The sequence below is a fragment of the Homo sapiens genome, chromosome 3 (genome assembly GCF_000001405.40).
Source record: "Homo sapiens chromosome 3, GRCh38.p14 Primary Assembly".
Classification (NCBI taxonomy): Eukaryota; Metazoa; Chordata; class Mammalia; order Primates; family Hominidae; genus Homo; species Homo sapiens.
Window position 1 is genome coordinate 161,400,559 of NC_000003.12, and position 22,206 is coordinate 161,422,764.

The 22,206-nt window shown below is 39.4% G+C and overlaps 1 long non-coding RNA gene across 1 annotated transcript in view, besides 1 other annotated feature; it reads left to right on the forward strand.

Annotated features, from left to right (window-relative positions):
* LOC107986150 (uncharacterized) overlaps positions 1 to 14,302 on the forward strand; it is a 35,884-nt gene extending 21,582 nt beyond the window's left edge. The window contains exon 3 of the long non-coding RNA XR_007096152.1: positions 1,603 to 14,302. This is a non-coding gene — a long non-coding RNA (uncharacterized LOC107986150). The remainder of the gene's footprint in view (positions 1 to 1,602) is intronic.
* Positions 20,092 to 20,740: an enhancer, noted in NCBI's record as "OCT4-NANOG hESC enhancer chr3:161138438-161139086 (GRCh37/hg19 assembly coordinates)". NCBI's record gives its function as "activates a minimal SCP1, AML or CMV promoter by ChIP-STARR-seq in naive H9 embryonic stem cells {active_cell/tissue: H9 hESC(naive)}" and the evidence as "EXISTENCE:reporter gene assay evidence [ECO:0000049][PMID:30033119]".

Sequence of the window (22,206 nt, forward strand, 5' to 3'; positions counted from 1 at the left end):
AATGAAGTTAAAAAAAATTAAAAAAAGAAGTGTTGAGGCTGATAAACTAATACCTTAAAATATAGTGCTTTGACATGCTGAACTAAAGCAGAAGCCTCAAGGTCTCTCTGACCAACCCCCTCCAGCCCCCGACCCCTGCCGCCCCACAATCCTTTCTCTCAATCCTCAACTCCAGACCTGACAAAGAAGAAAATAATTACCTCTTACCTCTGATCCCTACCCTGAGTTTTCATTAACTGAGCTCATAATGCAGAAAGAAAGACTGAACTCTGTCAATATACCTGGACAGACTTTGGTCACAAACCATTATCTACTATTTGGGCTGGCCTAGCCGGCTTTGGCCCAGGCCGTTGTATATTGTTCAAGCTCATTGAATTCCTCTAAAAATAATTTATTACACCACTAAAATTATCCATATTTCCCCACCTCCTTTTTCCCTAGGAGGGGGAAGAAGGAGTATTTAGTCATCTGTACCCCATTGTGTGGTGGGGTAATCACTCTGATTCTCCCTCGTGCACATTAATACATTTGTATGTCTTTTCTCCTGTTAATCTGTCTTTTGTCCACTGATTTTCAGTGAATCTTCAGAGGGCTAAGGATAAGTTTTCCCTTGACCCCTACAGAAGCAACAGATACCTGTAGAGATAGCGACGTGGATGGATCTTAAAATCCTAGTGAAAAAAGTACAAAATAGAATGAAATAGAAAACTAAACACCATTTAATTTGTGTGAATTAATGTGAAAAACATGAACACAAAATAAAAATATCCATTTGTGAGAACATACACAAGCAGATACTTATTAAATATATTAGAATGACTGTCAAGTGACCAGAAAAAGGGAATGGAACTGGAGTATGAGAATAAAAGAGAATATACCAATCAATCAACTGGGTCAGCTCCCTTAGGCTTTTGAAGAGATAGCAGTTAGTTGCCAAGGCAGCAGAAACAGATGTGGAAAATCTTGGGTTCCCTCCATTTCTCAATATTTCCTTATCATCACATCTTATACTGCCTAACTCATCTGTTCTCCATGAAAGCTGGCCCACAAAAATGCAATTAGTTAGAAGCAGTCTCCTGATAGTACTTCATTTCCTGCCCAATTTCATGTGAAAATGTCTTTCGCCCTGCATCTGGAGCTTTGACGCTTTCCTGATATTCTGGCCAAACCTGACAATTCTTTGGTGATCTAAATGCTAGTATAGAGTTGATAACATTACTTCTTATTGCAAAGAAATTATGGAAAGCAAGCTCACATTTATATTGACAGTGAAGAAACCCCTTGTTTTGTACAAGGTCTAACTTAATGCTTGTATATGCAGCTGCTTTCTAGGAGTGAGGATGCAATGTCTGTCCTTAACATTCATTCTGGAATTGGAGTTCCAGAGCTACTAAAGTTATAGGAAGTAAGAGCTAAATTACATTAAATGGAAAAATAGCACAAATAAAGGGAATAAGTAGCATAAGAGATTTAGTCAGAAGGTGAATTGTTTAATGAAAAGCCCCCTTTCTGTAATTTATAATAATGGGAGTTCAACAGCCTATTTCTTCCAGTCTGTCTCAAGACAATAATTAGAGTATTTTATTTTATTTTATTTTGCAGGCTTCAAAATTTAAAGGAGGTGTCAAAATGGAGGGTAGAAAAAGGGTAAGATATGTTAACAATATTTAGTATGATTTATGGGTGTGGTTAAAAATTCCCCATTATAGTAACTAATTAGATATCTTGAATATAAGAATTCTTGGCTTCTCTTGATTTATCGAATTAATTCTTCAAATTCACTAGGATCTCAGTTTCTTTACCAGAAAAGGAAGAAACTAAAGTATAGCTTTCATTCATATTCCAAGATCTTTGAAGAGTAATAAAGTTATTCTCTTCAAGTATTACTTTCAGGGTCATCACGACCTCCTTGGGAGAAGACTTCATGTGGCTGTTGTAAGTTTTAATTATCATCAGTTTCTATGTTAAATATCTTGAAAAGTCTTTAGATCTGGAAAGATTTTTTTCGTTCAAGTTTAAATAAGTCGATTTCCAAATTTGAAATTTGAGAAGTTGGAATGAGAATGGGAAAAGTAGAAGCTCATGGTATAATGATAAGAAAATATCAACAGTAGTTGAAAAATGTCTTGCCCTCTCCCTGTGGGTCATTGTAAACCATTTTTAAGCCTTTATCCGAAAAAAGAATGTTCAACAACATGATAAGCTCTCAGGAAGATTGTGAAAACGCCAAAGCTAAATCTCTAGATTAAAGTAAAATGACTACTGATTTGAATAACATTATGTTTACTCTGTTGAATCTATCATCTTTATCCTTCAAAAGTTGTATAGTTTGAGCCAGATTTTCTCATTTCAGTTTAAAAGATCCAAGCCATTCTTATGTCTAGATTTATCTATGGTTACTATGGAGATGGCTCACTTGGTGTGAGGATTTACAATGTCATCCCAAAAGAGAAAATAATTTGGGCTATTGAGTGCTTTAAAGACCTTGCGAGGTGAGGGGGTTGGGGAAAGACCAAAAGTTGCTGACATTTTAGTTGAGACTCAGTGATTCATGGATAGTGGGTCAGGGAGTGGGGATCGGTTATGTTCTGCATATGATGGTGCCCATCTTGACAATTGTGTCACCTTGTACACACCAGTGTTAGCTACTATACAGCCATTCTATTCATGTCTGTTTCTTTGATTTCAGAGAGCCATTGAGTTTATAACTTGTGGCCAGTAGGCTTAGAATTATAAAACACATATCAGTCCACTGAAAGTAAATATAGGGAAAATGAAAAGGAATTTAAAAAATGTATTAATGCCCAGAAAATCTGAGTTTTGGATCTCATTAAGTGGTCCTGGACTGTTCTTTTCACCCTAAGGCATATGAGGTATTAGACTGGGCTGGGTGAATCATCAGGGTTCCCAAGCATTTCTCTGGAGTACATCCAAGAGTTTGTATGTTTACCTTCTCCCTTCTCCCCAAGTCCATTTCATAGGCTCCCAAACACCCCAGAACTAAATTTATTTTTATTCCCCTATTTAAAATGAAAAATTAGTGCAAAATCTACATTCTACTGCATAATATATTGGTATGTTTTGATATAAACTATTTCAAATGAATAAATTACCTTAAACTTTCCAGTAAAATAGATGCACCTGAATAACATGTCCTGTTGCCTGTGGCTCTGAGTATAGTGCAACATACTGCCTTATATGCCTAGTGGTGCACAAAATTCCATCTGAGGAACAGCTGAAAATTATACTTTAGCAGAGCTGTGAAAGACCATTGCCTCCGGTCCTCTGTGATGTCTGAAATGCCACCATTTGAAATGATGTTCTTTAATCTCTGTGTTGTCCTTGACAATGAAGCTATAAAAGGGAGCATAATAAATTATTCATGCCTTAGCAGTGGCTAGTGATAGCTCAAAGACAGCATACATTTATAATAATGATAGTTGTTGGTGTGGTTTAAATGTTTTTCCCTCTAAAACTCATGTTGAAATTTAATCTCCAATTTGGCAGTATTGAGAGATGGGGCCTTTAAGAGGTGATTGGGACATAAGGGCTCTTGATTAATTCACTCATGGATTAATGGGTTAATGGATTAATGAATTAATGGGCTATCATGGGAATGAGGTTGGGAAGCTTTATAAGAAGAGGAAGAGAGACCTGAGCTAGCACACTCAGCCCCCTTATAAGTGAAGCTCTGCACTGCCTCAGGACTCTGCAGAGAATCCCCATCAGCAAGAAGGCCCTCACCAGATGTTGCCCCTCAATGTTGCACTTCTCAGCCTCCATCACTGTAAGTAGTAAGTTCCTTTTCCTTATAAAGTACCCAGTTTCAGGTATTTTGTTATAAGCAACAGAAAATGGACCAAGAAAGTTGCTTAATAGTTGGTTATAGGGAAAATCATAAATGAAAATTGAGTTATAGTTGTATATTTTAGAGATAAGGAAACTAAAATAATTACCTGTAAGTCATAGAACAAGTTGGTGAACTCTTAGAGGATCTGGAGATCATCTAATTATTTCTGACTTCCTAATGCCTATCATATTGGAAATACTAAATGCCTGTTTAATGAACAACTCAGGAAAGCAGAATTCACATCTTAGGCCACTGTTGTTTCTGTTTGAGGGAACTAGATGTCCTCAGTTCCTTTGAAGCAGATTTACATTAAATCGAAGAGAATTTCTGTTCATAGTACCACTGCTGAACCTGGAACCAGGGTTTGAAGTCTCACCTTTACTGCATTTATCCATTCTGTGTCCTGTTCCTGTGGCTTTTTCTGTTGTGAGGTCTTTCATATTTCTGATTTTTTTTTTCTGCTTCTCTGGCTCAGGCCCTGGTGGTTTCCTTTCTGGAAAAGTATACTAGCCTTCCAGCTGTTAAATAAAATTTATGGAGGTAATTGTTTTGGACTGAGCTTCTGCACTAGGCCTCAGCAGACCAGACCAAATCAAAATGGGGTCACCCATGCTAAATGCCATGTAATGAAACTTAGATATAGGTCAGTTTTCCGAAAAGCAGGAGATTCAGCAACAACCAGTGTAAAGGGGCTTAGTTAACCTGAGCCAGCAAGACAGAGAAATCATGCTTTAACCCTATAGGGAAAGTAACTTTGAAAAGACCAATCCTCTTCTTGTTCCTTGTTTCTGCCTTTTCTTCAGGTTTTTCTGCCTATAAAACCGATGTCTTCTGCTCAGCCCATTAGAGCACCTTTCTATTTTGTAAATGGGATGCTGCCCAATTCATGAATTGCTAATAAAGGCCAATTAGATCTTTAAACTCAATGTGCTTAAATTTTGTTCTTTGACACAGCTGATCTTTCTGTTTTCAAATATTTTCCCCTCCAAATATTCTGGCAGGCTGTCTATAGGACAGTATTACTAATTCACTCATCAATTGTGCTATCCTTGCACAAAAGCCTTTATCAACCATCTGTGACCCATGAAATCCAGTTAAACTTTCCCCCTTGGCATTGAAAACCTTGATCTCACCTGACCTACATTTCTGGGCTTATCTACATAGCCACTGACATAAAACCTACATACTTGACAATCTAGTTGTTTTACATTTCCTCATGCCTGAGGAAACGTTATGAGAAAATTTGTTAAATTATGAAATTACCTTTGCCATTTGATAGTAATCAGCTAAAGGATAGAGGATGTATCTTATACATCCTCGAATTTATTCTCCAACATAGCAAATACCCCTGTGGAGATGCCCACTAGAGATGGCAATTTTAGCTCTTCCATGAAATCCTGTGGCAAGAGGGAGGCAGCATGCAGGGCTTAGATGTAGAAGTCTGTCCCTGATGGCATGGGACAAGGAGATGTGAAAGAATGAGCAAGGGATTAAAAGTGATAGGCAAAATTGAGAGAACTGGCGCTGAAGACACATTTGATCTGTTTAAACTTCCTGGAAGGATCAGATCGCTGTGAGCAATCCTGATGTTCGCTGGGTTGGGGAAACAGCAGGCTTGCAGACTGACATGTTACTGGAAAGAAACGTTGATCAGGGTTCAAACTAATGTCAAGGAGAGGGCTTAGGTGGGTGGAATCTAGTGAAAACCAGCACACAGGTCACTAGGTTGAGAGCAGGGAGGCATGAACCAAGCTGATAACCAGCTTTCCTGGCATGGGAACAAAGGTGCTGCTATAGTCTGAATGCTCCCCCAAATTCATGAGTTTAAAGTTAATTCTCATTGTGGTTGTGTTAGAGGTGGGGCATTTTGTCATGAAGTCATGAAGTTTCCACCCCACAGTGGATTAGGGAAATAAAAGCTGGAGGAAACTAGCTTGGGCCCCTTTTGTTCTTCTGCTCTTCTGCCATGTGAGGATATAGGATTCATCTTCTTTTTTGTCCTTCCATCTTTCCTAACATGTTGCAGACATCTAGACAGTGCCATCTATGAGGAACAGGCCCTCACTTGAAACTGAACCTACCAGCACCTTGATCTTGGGCTTTCCAGCCTTCAGACTGTGAGACAATAAATTTTTATTTTTTATAAATTATCCCGGTTCCGGTATTTTTTTAATAGCAGCACAAATGGACTAAGAGGGATGCCTAACAAAGGGCAAGGATAGCCTTGGCAGGAGGGATTGCATGCAAAATTTTATTATGCATTAAATTAATATTTCCCAGTGTCTGAGGAATTTTGGCCATTGTTTTCACGTGTGTATGCATGTGTTTAGCTGGAGCCTAACAAAAGAAGGCTGTGGTTGATGCCACCACTTCCTCACTTCCTGTAGCCACACACCAAAGTGCCTTGTGAGAGGGGCTGTTAACTCCAGAGCCACAACCTGGGTCTAGGAAAGCTCTGATTTCAAACATGCTGTTGATTCTTCCCCAAATAGCATAAATTTTTATCATAATCTATGTCTTTATTTTTGCTGCCTAAAACATGGCCCTTTTCTATCACACCATCATTGTCATGGAATGTTCTTTAAATACAAATAGAACCTTTGCTTCCTAAGAACTTTCTTTTGCACTTTGCCAGAGTTCACTTTTGCACTTTTTGATTTCTGAATGAAATCAAAAGTGCAACTTAGTGGAGGAGTGTGGGATCCAGAAGCATAAGAATTCTGTTGTTCCCAGCTGTGGGGTTCTCAGCACAATAGTAAGAACCCTTAAAATGATAATAATTCTAATTTCTCTTGAAAAATTTTCATTTACAGTGGAATAAATGTCAGGAGATGTTAAGTATTTGCTACTTAGAATAGACTCTTTCCCAGCTCCAAAAATTCTTTTCAAAGCAAATATGTACATTTGATACCTGCAAGTTTTGAATGTGCAAATATTGGCTCAGCAGATGGATGAACCAAGTCTAACATATTGTTTTTTTTTTTTTCTCAAGGGTTGGGACTATTATGACTCTGACTAAGGGTTACATATTTTTTCCTACCCTTACTGATAACTGATGAATTTTTAGAATGGAATGGATTCTCATCCTTTTCTCTAGAATGTATAACACCTTTATAAAATGCTAAAGAGATTTTTTTTTAATCATTCTTATGGTTTAGGCTAAATCCCTGTTTTTGCCCCTACAATTTCTCTAGTGACCCTTGCTCGGGGTCACTAGACCCCGGGGATTTGCTAGGAATCTCCAAGTTGTTTGATTCATTTCATTTTCAGTATCTTTTATTTTGAGACTGGTTAAAAAAAAAACTACCTTCATAGAGGGCAAAGAACCTTGAATGATGGAATTTCAAAATGCTTTCAGAATTAGTTCTGAAGATAAACAAGTGAGGAGAAAATGTACATAGAATTCTAAATTCTAAAAGAGTTTTATACAAGTATACTTGCATAAAATCATAAACTTGAAGGCAATGTAAGAAGCTAGTTGTTCTAGAATATGATTTACAAAGCAAGGGACTCACGGTTGAATCATTTACATCAACAGGTGTTGTCAAGAAGTGCTACGATTTAACAGCACCGAAAGTTTCTACCTTTAAAGTGAAGAGCAGGCACATTATTAAGTAACTTAACATGGCACAACATGATTTTCATAAAAGCTGATAAAATCATCTTGGAAAAGTTAACTGCATCATGAGGCAAGTTTTAGGTACATAATTTTAATCTATAATGTATCTATGGTTATTGGCGCTAGGTATGTATACAGGCTATCAGTTTCTGGAGACCCGCAGGAAAATCCAACACTGAAAGAGCTTGCCCACCCAGGCCCCACTGGTTCTGAGCAATGTTTCAAAACATCGTGCATTCCAACATGTGGTCCCTAATCCCTGCTGGGGGAAGCTGCAGTTGAGTAAGGGTTTTACCTGAGACTTTGATTTTCTTGTACATATGGGTCTTAGGGACTCAAGCTGCAGGCTGTTGGTTACCTCCTGCTTTATGCTTCTAAGCATATGTTATCTTTAGGATGTGGATCCAAACAGGTAACCCAACAATCTATTTGAATTAATTGTATGTTTAATAAAATCTTAAAATCTTACATGTGCAGACCAGGCACGGTGGCTCATGCCTGTAATCCCAGCACTTTGGGAGGCCAAAGTGGGTGGATCATTTGAGGTCAGGAGTTCGAGACCAGCCTGGCCAACATGGTGAAACCAAGTCTGTACAAAAAATATAAAAATTAGCCGGGCATGAGTGGTGTGCACCTGTAATCCCAGCTACTTGGGGGGCTGAGGTGGGAGGATCGCTTGAGCCTGGGAAGTAGAGGTTGTAGTGAGCCGAGATCTTGCCACTGCACTCCAGCCTGGGCAACAGACTGAGACCCTGTCTCAAAACAAAACAAAACAAAACAAAACAAAACAAAACAAAAAAATCTTACATCTGCAGACATAGCATTACACTGGGAATTAGCACCTTCCCTCTGTGGTAAATGGTGCAGGTGGGATTAATGCTGTTTTACAGATGTGAGTGGGGTTAGTGTCATTTTACAAATGTGAATGTGGAGACCCAAAGGGGCCAAAAGACTTGCCCAAGGTCAAACTTCAGTTATTACATTTCTCGATTATTTTGCTATTTAGCTATGATTGTCATGAAAAGTTTCACAGAGCTTGAAATTCTGGGCAATATTCTTAAAGTCAATTCCTGGAATATTATTTTTGGAGTGAACAACTCGATCTCTGGAAAATTTGGAGGTTAAAGAGAGGAATTACAGTTTTTTGAAGAGATGTCTTCCCTATGTAACGGCCCCATGTTGCCCCCTTATGGAACTTGCGATATTTGCAAAATTCTTTGCTGAATTAGTCTTTCACTGAAGTGTGACTTATTTGACACACAGGATTTACAGCATGAGCCTTTTGTCACAACAGCCTTTTGTCACAACAGGATTTACAGCATCAGCCTTTCTCAGGATGATAACATATTACCTTACCATTTTCATATATTAAATCAACTGTTACTGAAATTCAGCCAAATTGAAGGAAAATGTGATTATGAGGAAGTCTACAGAAAACTTTTTTGTACTAATTTCTAACTATACTCACAGCCCCTTTTCCCATACCCTCAGGGCTGACCATTTTGCACATTAAAAAGTAATGTATCTAACGAAATAGGACGGTGTTCTTAATATTTTACTAAAAATTGTGGATCATTTTAAGTTTCACGCTTGTGAGACGTTTGGGGATTTGGTTTTTTTTGTTCAATGGGTTTGAATTTCACCTCTGCTACTTAGCTACATCACCTCCGGTAGACTCAGTTTCTGGGTCTCAGCATCTTCCTCTGTAAAATGGGAAGAATGGCGCCATTTGTGAAGCATTTGAAACAATTCCTGGTAGAGTATGCATGCAAAAGTGAAAGCAGTAGCGGTGGTTGTAGCAGTAGTAACCCCTGGATCTTACCTCCTCAATTATCACATGAGGAGATTGTACTAAAGGAGCTCTGAGATCCTCTCAAGTTCTTACATCTCTGATCCTCTGGATGCAAAATAAGCAGAGGAAGAAGGAGGCACCATGAGCAATGATTCCATCTCTGCCCTCCTGAGAAAGTCTTTCCCTCCTTTCCACAGCACCTGGGAGGAGCAGGAAGTTACTAATTTGCTGGCAGGGCCTGCTGGTTTCGGCCACAGTTTCTGAGTCTTTTGGGGAGTCAGATGCAATAGGGTATATGCCAGACAGCAGAACCTATCCAGGGGTGTGGAAGCATTCCGCCTTTGGGAACCCACCCACCCTGGATGGGGCAACTAATCGGAGAAAGTCTCAACAGAAAAATGGAAGTGGGTAGTGTGCAGTGAAAGTGGATGTAGGGAGGCTGGAAAGTGGGACCCGTCAAAGCCTAAGAGATAGACTGGAAGGAGGCACGAAGAAGGGATTGCTGGCAGGGAAATTCCTCCCTTTGTCCCAGGGTCTCAACTTCACACTTGTCCAAGATAAACACCACTGACATTAAAGTGATGAAAACATTTTATTCAGTAACTACTGACAGTCAGGGAAAGAGCTGCGCTCCATTCCAGTTTGTGCAGAGGTGGCGGTGTCTTTTATTTTAATTTTTATTATTCCAATAAGACTTTATTGTTTATGTCTGAAAATTAGCTATAAAAACTTGTAATATACATTGTTTTATCAGTTCTCTCTCTAGTTTTAGCTCTATCGAGGTACAACTGATACACAAAAAAATTGTACCCATCTAATGTATGTATCTTGATGAATCCAGACATATAAATACACCCATGATGTCATCATCACATAAAACACATCCATCACCTCAGAGGGAGAGAGTGGGAGGGAGAGAGAACTGGGGTTCAAATAAAAAGTTACCAAGGGTTGGTCAGTGTAAATGTGACTAGGCCAGCTGTGTCTGCTAGCCAGCAATGATGGCCCCAAATTAGGATTCTATCCTGACAAGTACATTTCTAAGAATGGTCTTCAGATCTTTGAGAAAGACAATCCTAAATTGCAGGAGATATATATACATCTCAAAGGGACAGAGGAAGGATTCATGATTGTAAGGCCTTTACAGTAAATGCTTTAATAAGAGGAGGTATAGGGGCCAAGGGAAAACTTCTCCTTTGTCCTCTGAAGGTTCACTGAAAGTCAGTTGACAAAAGGCAGATTTAATAAGAGAAATAACATCCATAGACCAGGCGTAGTGGTTTACACCTGCAATATCAACACTTTGGGAGGCCAAGGCAGGAGGATTGCTTGAGCCCAGAAGTTCAAGACCAGTCTGGGCAATACAGTGAGATCCCATCTCTACAAAAATTTAAAAATTATCTAGGCTTGGTTGTACATACCTGTAGTCCCAGCTACTTGAGAGGCTGTGGTGGGAGGATCATTTGATCTGGAGAGGTGGAGGCTGCAGTGAGCCGAGATCATAACACTGCACTCCAGTCTGGGTGGCAGAGTGAGCCCCTCTCTCAGAAATACTACTACTACTACTAATAGAAGTGGTATATAGATTTATTAATGTCCCTGGGGGAGAATCAGAGTGACTACCCCACCACGCAATGGGGCAAAAATGGTTATATACCCCTTCTTCCTTTACTTAGGGGAAAGAGAGATGGGGAAGTGTGATGATTTTAGGGGGATAGTAAATGATTTTCAGGGGAATTCACTGGGCTTGAAGAACATACAATGGCCTGGAACAAAGTCTGTTGGGCCTGCAGAGCAGACAATGGTTTGTGAGAAAAGTCTGTCCAGGTGTGTTGACATACTTCAGTCTTCTTTCCTGCAATATGAGTTAAGTTAATAAAAACTCAGGGAAATAACCAGAGGCAAGAGGAAATTGTTTTCTTCTTTGGTGGGTCTGGCATTTAGGCAGATATGGGAACTTCAGAGAACAACTTCATTCTGTGCTTTGGGAGAGCCAGAGGATTGAGAGACAGTAGTGAGGGGAGGTCAGAGAGACATTGAGGCTGCTTCCTTGGTTCAGCATGTCAAAGCATCATATTTTGGGGTATTGGTTTTTGAGCCCCAATAGAGGTCTGGGACGAACAGAAAATTCTCCTGGCAGCTCTAGGCTTTCTCAGGCAGACATGTTAATACAGGGCTGGGGCCATCCTACGGACATCGCCTTCTGCTGCTAGAAGCCAGGCTAGAGTTTGGTGCATTTCTCTTTAGTACAGAGGTTTGGATGGAGTTGTTACATGCTGAAAGTTCTGCGGTTCTTACCATGAGGTCTTCTCTGACCAATCTAACCCTTCACAGGGCCAACTTTCATGTAAAAAGTGAGTAGTTCATTCACTCATTCCACAAATATTAGTTGGGAGTCTTCTATGTGCTGGGCACAGTTTGAGAGTCAGGGAGTCTTAGAATTGTTTGCACTGTTCACTAGTTGTTTTATTTGTACTAGTCCCACCTTAACTAAATAGATCGTTAAATTCCTTGAGGTCAGAGATACTATCTTATTCTTCTGTTTTCCACACTGTATGGAATTTAGCAGAGCCTATTAGTCACTTGAATTTATTAAATATAATTGAGCAATACAACAAATAAAGAAAAACACTTTGAAACAGAAGTTAAGTAACTTGAGAGTTGAGAAGAAAAAGAAAATGAAAATATTGAAGTAATGAAAGAGATTATTTAACTGCACCCCCCAACTTTTATATCTTTTTTATGGTCTCCAGAAAATTTGGTTTGAAAAAAAAATCACTTATTAAAAATAAAAGTCTGAAGACCACTGATGAATTTTATAGGTCCAGAGAGGTGAAGTCAAACAACGAGCTTCCCCTACAGCTGATTACACAGTATGATTAAGCCAAAGGGGACATGTTGCTCCAGGGAGAGTCTAATCAGAACACACGTTTCCTATCTTAGACCCCAAATCCTTTGAACTCAGAGGAGCAAATCAAAAGAGGTCTCCAAAACTGTGAGCTTAGAAAAGAGTTACAGTTAGAAGATGAGGTTTCGAGGAGAAATCATTGAAGGTGATTCAACTCAAACTTCAGAACTGCTCTCTGTCCTTCAGAAACTGGGAATTTGATGCCTAAAGAAGTTGTATCCTCACTGGCCTTTTTGACAGGAAGATGAACCTAAAGTTTACCCTAAAAGCTATGCTAACTTCTGTATTTTTGAACTATTCTGAAAAATATTTGCTATTTGCTTTCTTAAGTGTAAGGAAGGAATGAATCTCTGAGCTACATCATGTAGGTGATATTAAAACTACACTTTTTTGTGTGTCTGATTTAACATTGTTAAAAATAGTCAAAATTTCTACTAGTTTATCATGTATCCAAAGGTTAAGAATAGATACAAAGAATTTCATTCTTTCTAGATGCTGGGAATATTCTCAGATCTTGCCAGCTCTGCAGCAAATGGAGGAGGTGGTTCTTGGATGTCAGACTTTCCTGGAGGGAGGCCAGGCTGCGGTAGCCCAGTTGTAATGCTTTCCTCTGAGGTGTTGGCATCAGGGCTTGCTTCCACTGCTGTTCTCCCAACAGTGATTTCTAAAGGGAGGCCAAGGTTGGGTAAGGGTCAGGGCTGGCACAGAACTGATGTCAGGAGCTGTAAGACCTAAGGCTGCTTTTACAAAGATGCATGCATTTTATCTAACAGCCTTTTCCCCTAAAATATCCACAACATATATTCTATTTCTGTAGTTCTCAGCAGGGTAATTTTTGTCTCCCAGGAGGAATTTAGCAGTATCTGGAGACATTTGTGATTGTCATAATTGGGGGAGGTTTGCTACTGGCATCTAGTGGGTAAGAGACAGATATGCTGCTAAACATGCTACAATGCACAGGGCAGCAGCCACAACAAAGAATAATCCAATCCAAAATGTCAGTTGTGTCAGGGTTGAGAAACCTCATTATATATTTCAAGACAAGAAAACCAGTTCCTTGCTTAGTGTGCTGGCTAACGCCTTACTGATGCATGTGGTCTCCAGACACCAGCATCACTTGGGAGTTCCTGAGAAATAACAGACTCTCAGTCCCCACTTGGGATACTGGATCAGAATCTGCATTTTAACAAGATCCCCAGGTGACTTATATGTGTCTTTAATATTGAGAAGCACTGGTAACCTTCTATGAGAACTACAAGGGCAAGGCAGTGAGACAAGTGCTTCAGCATGGCCAAGTCAAGAAGAGACAGTTCTGGCCCTACTTAGGCAACATCTTTAAATTAAAAAAAAACCTCACTTTTTCTCGGTTTTGTTTTGTGTTTTTAAATTTGCATTGAAGTTTCTTCTATTTTTTTTTTTTTTTTTTTGCTACTTTGTCCTTCTTTCCTTCCTTTCTTTTTTTCTCTCTTCCTTCCTTTCTCTTCTAGTTACTCTGCTTCATCATTTATCTTTATCTCACATGTATGCAGTGCTTTTCTAGGTCCTTAATTTTGAGTTACTCGTGATACCAAAAAAAAAAAAAAAAAAGGGCAGACACTTCTCATTAATTAAAGGAAATTGTCCTAGTGGGTAGAATCTGGGAGGACAGTCATACTTTCTTAAACATAATAACGCAATTAAATTCTACCTTCCCTTCAGTAGTAAGATATTAAAAAGGAAGGCAATAAAGCTCATCCAATACTAATTTGATCAGAAGCCTGTGCAATCAGTCTCTTTGATATACCTTTTGTCAACACAGCTTTAGATTTTGAATAGGCAATCTAAAACCCTGGAAATCTACCATATTGATTTATTAGCAAAATTTCTGCTGAACCTAGGTATAATAATAGAACTGATTAAAAATAAAATTTAGTCTGTATGCCATGCAATGTACTGTAGCATTTTAGTTTCATGTTTCTCTAAAAAAAATAAGTTAAAATTTTAAATTATTAAAACAAACTTCAGTTCAACTTGCTAAACATTTACTTAGCACCTATTGTTTACAAAATGCTGGAATAAAAATTGTGGAAGATTAAAAAAGATTAAGATATAATTTTGCCCTGGTTCATAATCTGGGGTGTGTGTGTGTGTGTGTGTGTGTGTGTCTGTGTGTGTGTGTTTGTGTGTGTGTGTATGGTGGGATGGATATAATATGCAGGGTCTATTCATGTTAAGTATATTAACACACATACCAAAAAAGAGCTATAGGAGTTTACAGAAGAATATTCATACTTAGTGTTTCTTTGTTATTAAAAAAATAGATTTTGAAGTAAAAAGAAAATGACTGAAGAGGTTCCAGTTCCTAAAAAGCTGTGGTTTTCTCAGTGACATTTTACAACCTGGTTAACAATTACATTAAGTTTCAGGGAAGTTTAAGTAAGGAGCATAGATAGGCCTGATATTCTCAGTAAATTACCACTGCTATTTATGCCTATTTTCCCCAGAATTTCTTTATACTTATATTTTAAAACACATCTTATCACATCTTCATAACTTTTTCTTTTTTCTCATTTAAAACTACGGTGGTACCAAAGCAGGGAGATTTATTCTTTTTGATTGTGGATTAAAGTCATACATGTAAGACAACAAAACTGTTACGTAAGTATTGAAAAGAACTTGCTAAAAACCATATGTAATGGGTATTGTTATCAATATAACTGAATAAAATTTATCTTGCTTAGAAATGACTTTTAAATATAATGCCTAAAATGTTATTATGCAAATTTATTCACCTGGCATCTATTAGAGACTTTAATAATAACACTGTAAAAATGAACTGCAACTTTTCCCTAGGATCTAATCAGTATGCAAAAGGACATATGCTATCTGGAAATGACAAGTAATGGGAAAGTTAGTCCTTTTGCTCATACCCTGTGACCTTAGAAATGACTGTGCCAAAAATTACATCAGTATTTGGATGAATTCCTAAATAAATTCAAATTAAATTGAGTCATACTAAAGCTTTATTCAATTAGGCAATAGCATTGAAAGATTCATTTTAAAAAAAGCTAGATAGAACTGGTTTTGTGTGATAAATTTTATAGGGCAGGGCTCACCTTTTGAAATTGGAGGGTGTCTTCACTATGTGATATTGAAGATCATTAAGGTAATTATGAATGTGTGTTCACTGCTGTATAAAACAAGTCTACTTCACTAATAATTCTGACCTCAAATTTTCTAAACATACTTTTATTTTCCCCAAGTTCTAGGAGTAATGTACTCTGGATTCAATCCTGTGCTCACTTCCTCCCCCGAGGCTTTTCTACAGCCTCTGGTCACTTACTGCTGGCTTGTTTTGGCTCCACATCAACACTTAGAGAAACTAGTTTACATGGGTTTTTCTTGGTGTGTTTGCTTTTTAAATGAGGTAATGAAAAGGCCTGGTTGGAATGCTGAAGTTGTCCTGGCAACTAAGGGAGTAAAAGCTGGTAAAGAAATTCTTGAAAGGAGTTCAAAACTTCTGCTTCTGAGAAAATAAATGTAAGGGAATTACAATTTAGAAAATACTGAACAGACACATTTTGTTTTGCTCTAGAATAGTTTTTATTTTTTTCCTCTAGTCTTTCACCTTCGAGCATAAACCATGAAGTCAAAATCTTCAGGGAAAGGGAAGATGAGTCCCATCGGGGCACAGAGGTCAGTTGTAGCCTACCTGACTGAGGATATCACCAGTATTTCTCCAGGCAAGTCCTGGACAGGAAGGAAGATAAAGAGGAGAGCTGTTCTTGTGGTAGGAAGGAGGTAACAGAGGCAGCAGGAGCAGATGGTAAGAAAGCCTGTCTGCGGGACCCTCTCTGGGCCACAGTGCTGAATATAGAGCAATTTTAGGTAGGATAAGGACAGAGGGAAAAGAAGAGTGTTTTCTGCTCTATTTCCTTCTGGAAAAAAGGAGAATCTTACAGAGAGATTCTTCTCATAACCACATGGGCAACTGCAGGGTCAGGCAGGCCTGATTCCCCACAATACTCCATTTCCGGAAGCTTCCATAATGCTAGAGAGAACTATCTAGATAGCTGGTGGTACTGGTGGATGAACTTAATGGAAGGGGTATCGGGGGAACCTGCCCCCGATTTCACATAGGTTCTTTTCTATTTTCCCTAAGTGTCAGCTGGTTTGAGAAATAAAGGGACAGAGTACAAAACAGAGAAATTTTAAAGCTGGGCATCCGGGGGAGACATCACATGTCAGTAGGTTCCATGATGCCCCTTGAGCCATAAAACCAGCAAGTTTTTATTAGTGATTTTCAAAAGGGGAGGGAGTGTACTAATAGGGTGTGGGTCACAGAGATCACATGCTTCACAAAGTAATAGAATATTACAAGGCAAATGGAGGCAGGGTGAGATCACAGGACCACAGGACCGGGGCAAAATTAAAATTGCTAATGAAGTTTCAGCACGCATTGTCATTGATAACATCTTATCTGGAGACAGGTTTTGAGTGCACACAACTGGTCTGACCAAAATTTTTTAGGTGGGAATTTCCTTGTCCTAATAAGCCTGGGAGCGCTATGGGAGACTGGGGCTTATTTCATTCCTACAGTTTTGACCATAGAAGATGGCCACTCGCCGAAGTGGCCATTTTAGAGGCCTACCCTCAGGGATGCATGCATTCTCTTTCTCAGGGATGTTCCTTGCTGAGAAAAAGAATTCAGGGATATTTCTCCCATTTGCTTTTGAAAGAAGAGAAATATGGCTCTGTTCTGCCTGGCTCACCGGCAGTCAGAGTTTAAGGTTATCTCTCTTATTCCCTAAACATTGCTGTTATCCTGTTCTTTTTTCAAGGTGCCCAGATTTCACATTGTTCAAACACACATGCTCTATAAACAATTTGTGCAGTTAACGCAATCATCACAGGGTCCTGAGGCAACATACATCCTCCTCAGCTTAAGAAAATGACAGGATTAAGAGATTGAAGTAAAGACAGGCATAGGAAATCACAAGGGTATTGACTGGGGAAGTGATAAGTGTCCATGAAATCTTCACAATTTATGTTCAGAGATTGCAGTAAAGACAGGTGTAAGAAATTATAAAAGTATTAATTTGGGGATCTAATAAATGTCCATGAAATCTTCACAATTTATGTTCTTCCACCATGGCATCAGCCGGTCCCTCCGTTTGGGGTCCCTGACTTCCCGCAACAAAGGGGTAATGTGGGAGTGTGTGAGTTTTGGAGGGAAAGTGACACCCAAAACAAGAGTAGGGTGGTCTGGCTGGCTGGACATAGAATAGAAATGGGAGGTCAGGCACCATCGGGGTTGCCAATCTCCTGATCCAGCTGAGAAAGACCTGAGAGTTCCTCAGGCCCAGGTCTGAACATTAGTTGCCAGCCAGGTGCTGCAGTGATGAGGCAGAGGAGCTGGAGAGTGAAGAATGATGTGTGTGTTTGTATCCAGGTCCCAGTGCCATTCACTCAACTGCCATTTTGGAGAGAAGCAGAGGAAATGAAGGAAATTTAACATGCTCAGCTTTCTCAGGAAGCCAGAGTTAACCAAAGATGCTATTTATTTAATGAAGTTTATCGATTAGAATAAATTTGTATTTTTTCCTCTCTTGGTGGGGTAGAGGTCCACAAACAATATCAAGTGTTATAGAAAATAAACAAGCAAAGGGCTTTCTGTGCATAACAAGTGTGGGATGATAAAATTGGCAAGGCTGCTCTATAGGTGTTGTCCATTTACCCTGGGGCCTATGGATGTCATTTACATAACTGAGTTTTTTCATAGCTTCAAAAATTTCTAAGTTGTAAAACCATACAGTGAATTTAGAATGGTAGGCAAGACCACCATCATTTAGCATGGTAGACAAGGCAATATATCACAATTGTATTATTGCCATGTTAAAAGATTTTTGCAGTAAGAAGCTCTGCTCTGTAATTTTGGGGAGTGTAACTTCCTGTGGGGAGATGTTGGGTGCTGCTGGGATTTGGAACTCTCTAAATGGAACCTGAGAAGAGCTGGAGAAGGCTGTGGGGGCTCCTCCTTATTCTCCCACAGTGGACTTGCTGTTTGTCTTCCTCTTTCCACCTCCAAGTTGACTCTTCCCATCTTTTCTGTGTTCTGTGGTCCTTTTTTCCTTGTCAGAACTGCTAAGTGGGTAGACCGAGCCTGGGGACCCCAGAACAAGGACCTCTCAAGATCTTCCAAATCATAGATAACCACAGCTGTCACTGAAGACAGCTCAAAGCCACTTCTTGTGAGAAGAGTACATTTCTTCTATAACACCTGTTCTGAGTCCAAACGAGGATAATCAAAAGTCTGAACAAGCAATTTTCATTTGTTCATTTCAGTTTGTTCTTCAATGCTGCATTGCAAAGCAATGCTCTCCAATTTTTTTGTAAACTAGCATTTCTTTCTTTTAAGTGATTTTAGTTCCTTAAGGAGCCTTGTTTAGCCCAAGATGGAGTTTTCTCCATCTTTGCCCCCTGCCCATTGGCTTCACTTCCCACAAGAGGGGAGCACTCATCCATTCTCTAGACATGAAAATCCCTTTGAAGTGCTGTTTATGCATCTGTCATTCTCACTGTCAAGTTTGAGAATGCAAGTACAGTATTCATTCTGGCCCTGGTTGGTCGGGTGGGCCAGGGTCTGCAGCATGGAGGGTGTGCCTTGATTGGACGCCCTTCCCTGCTGAGTCCCCAAGACCTGTGCCATGGGATCCCAGGATGTGGTTAGAAGCCAGGGAGGTGGCGGGGTCCTGGGGTGGTGAAGAGCATGGAGTTTCTGTGTATTCCCAGCATGGCCTACTCCAGTTTCCCAGTCTTGAAACTGTGAACATTTGGGGCCAGATCATTCTCTGTGGTGGGGCCTGTTCTGTGCACTGTAGGATGTTGAGCAGCAACCTTGGCTTCCACTCACTCAATGCCAGTAGCACCTCCCTGGTTGTGACAACCACAACTATCTCCAGACATGGCTGAGTGTTGTCGTCACATGAGATACCTGGCCTGAGTGAGCAGCTGCTTACCTTCTTGTGTTGTTTTCAAGTCTGGGGAAAGGAGAATTGACCCCCTTGTGGGGATCAAGGCAGATGGATAAGGGGCAAAGATGGGGGAAACCCATGGGCTAAACAAAGCATTCTAAGAAACTATTGTTAACTATTTTTAGGTGTCATGGTTATGTTTTGAAAGGTCTTGTTGGTTGTGTTTAATTCCTTCATTGCGATAAATGTACTGTGTCTGTGTAAGACATTTACAATGGGGGCAACTGGGTGTGGGATGTTGAGAACTCTGCTATCTTTACCACATTTCTATAAAACTAGAATTATTCTAAAATAAAATGTTTATGTATAGAAAAAGAAAGTGCTGACCTTCATGGAGGAATTTCAAACAGCATTGAATCATGAGAGATTGTTGATGAATTTATGCCACTCAAACTTCACACACTGTCCTTCCACCCCATGAAACACAAAGTGTGGAGTAGCTGTTTATAGAGCACAAAGTAACCCACTGTTAACTAAGTGCTGAGAAAGACCCAGGCAAGAAAGAAAGGCAGACATGTTGAAATGCCCCTTTGGAAATTCATGGGAAAAAGAATCACAAATATTTCCCTCTCTACATAGACATCGATGGTAGTGAGGATATAGATAGTTTAAAATATCTTACTGATAAGGATAGCAAAATACATAGAAAAAAATATGAGTTTATGAGCCTGTGATTTTTTTTTATTTCAATAGTTTTTGGGGAGCAGGTGGTGTTTGGTTACATGGATCACTTCTTTAGTGGTGATTTCTGAGATTTTGGTGCACCCATCACCCCAGCATGTACACTGTATCCAATGTATAATCTTTTATCCCTCACCTCCCCCCGACCATTTTCCTGGAGTCCCCAAAGTCCATTGTATCATTCTTATGTCTTTGCATCCTTGTAGATTAGCTCCCACTTATAAGTGAGAACTCATATATAGAGTTGCCAAATGAAATTCAGGATGCCCAGTTAAATTTGAATTTCAGATAAACAACATTTTTTTTTTGGTATAAGTATATTCCTAATATTATGTGCTTGGTTCCTGTCAGCTTCAACACTCCTTTCTCCCTCTTCTGTTAGAATCAATTCACATCAGTTCATTTGCTTAACAAATATTTATTGAAAGCTGCTCTGCGTGCTGTGTTCAGGGTGCTGGGAAGAAGAGTAAACAAAACTAGCAGTTTCCTGCCCTCCTGGCGGAGGCGAGTAAAACAAGCAAATACACGCTCCATGGAATTTCAGGAATGGAAAGAGCATCAAAGAAAATGCAAACACAGAAACAAGAATGACAGGATGGTGGAAACGAAGTGAGGAACGCATAATTCATTTGCGGAGATGTCTGTGAGACGGTGACATTTCAGCAGAAACCAGAACCATGTAAAGTGTAAATCACATGGAGCTCTGGGCAAGTGTGTCCATCTGGTCAGAGGGAATAGCAAGTAAGTCCTAAATCTAATAAAATTCGAAATATTTAAAAGACATTGCCAGTTTTTAGAAGTGGTCTCTTTTGGCCCCCACCTGGCAGTCATTTTTTCATTGTCCATTTTCTGCAACAAATCAGCAGGGAACACAAGGGAACTGGGTAGCAGGCCTTTTCTGCTGCAGCAGGAGATATTTGGGGCAAAGCCCTGCTTGTTCTCATGGGAGAATTTTTTTGTGAAAGCCCCCACTGGATGATAAGAGCCAATATTCTCTGAAGCAGGTTTTATCACCCAGTGGGCTCCCCCATGCAAAACTCAGGTCAGGCAGCTGTGGGATGTGCTACCCTTTAAACAATGGAGAGTCTAGCAGTCAGGCTGCTACACAGTTCAACTCAATTAGTTAGATATGATATTAGCTTTAACATACACAGCTTCTATGAGGCATGTTTCCCCATAAAATACAGAATAAAGAGGCATAGAGTAACAGTGACTTTCTTTTCTTTTTCTTTTTGATGTTCAAAACATTATCCCATTGCTTTGTTAAAAATAGATATAAATGCAAACAAAAATGAACAATAAATATCATTTTGTATCTGTCAAATGAGAAAAATGTTTTAAAATCTTAATATCTAACACTGGTAAGGATGTGCTGATGCAGGCACTGGTGAGAGTAGAATTCTTTTTTCTTATTTACTCTTTTAAATTGAAAAATAAAAATTGTATATATTTATGTTGTACAACATGATGTTCTGAAATATGTATACATTGTGGAAATTCTAAATGAAATTAACTAACATATACATCACCTCACATACTTATCATTTGTTTGCGGTGAGAACACTTAAAATCTACTCTGTTAGCAATTTTCAAGTATATAATGCATTGCTATTAACTATAGTCAACAACCTTATTTTCTTAATCAAAAGTGCTCCACATCCCCTGGCTTCTGGGCCTTTGTGGTTGGCTGTGTACTAATGGTGGCTCACTCCCAGCTTCTGCACTGGATTTTTTCTCTGCCTATTTCAGGTCAGTGCTTTGGAAAGTCTTCCGTCTCTCCTGCAATCTCCACTTTTCCCTCTCTACTGCTAATAGCATAAAAGCATGCTATCACTTTTCTCATCTTTGAAAATGCTCCCTTTGAGCTCATATCATCCTCCAGCTGTTGCATCATTTCTAGGCTTCCCTTCTGTCAAAATTCCTTGAAAACACTATTATACTTGCTGTGTCCAGTATCACTCTTCATCTCTGTAATCTTGTCTGATCAGGCTTCTGGCCTCCCGCTCCATGAAATCACTCTTTATAAGGTTACCATGAGCTCCACACTGCTTAGGTCAAGGGTCAGTCCTTGTCCTCAGCTGTTGATGATAGATCACTTTCTGCTCTTCAGAGCAGCTGGCTTCTGGATACTTTATTCCTGAGTCTTCTCCTACTTCACTCAACACTCTTTCTTGGCTTTCATTGCTGGTGTCTCTTTCCCTTGACTTCTAAACATTGAATGTTCCAGGGTTGAGCTGTCATTCTATCTCTACATGGATTCTGATGTCTTCCAAATTTTGTATTTCCAACCCAGACCTCTTCTCTGAATGCCAGTCTCCCATAGGCAACTACCTATTCTTTAGG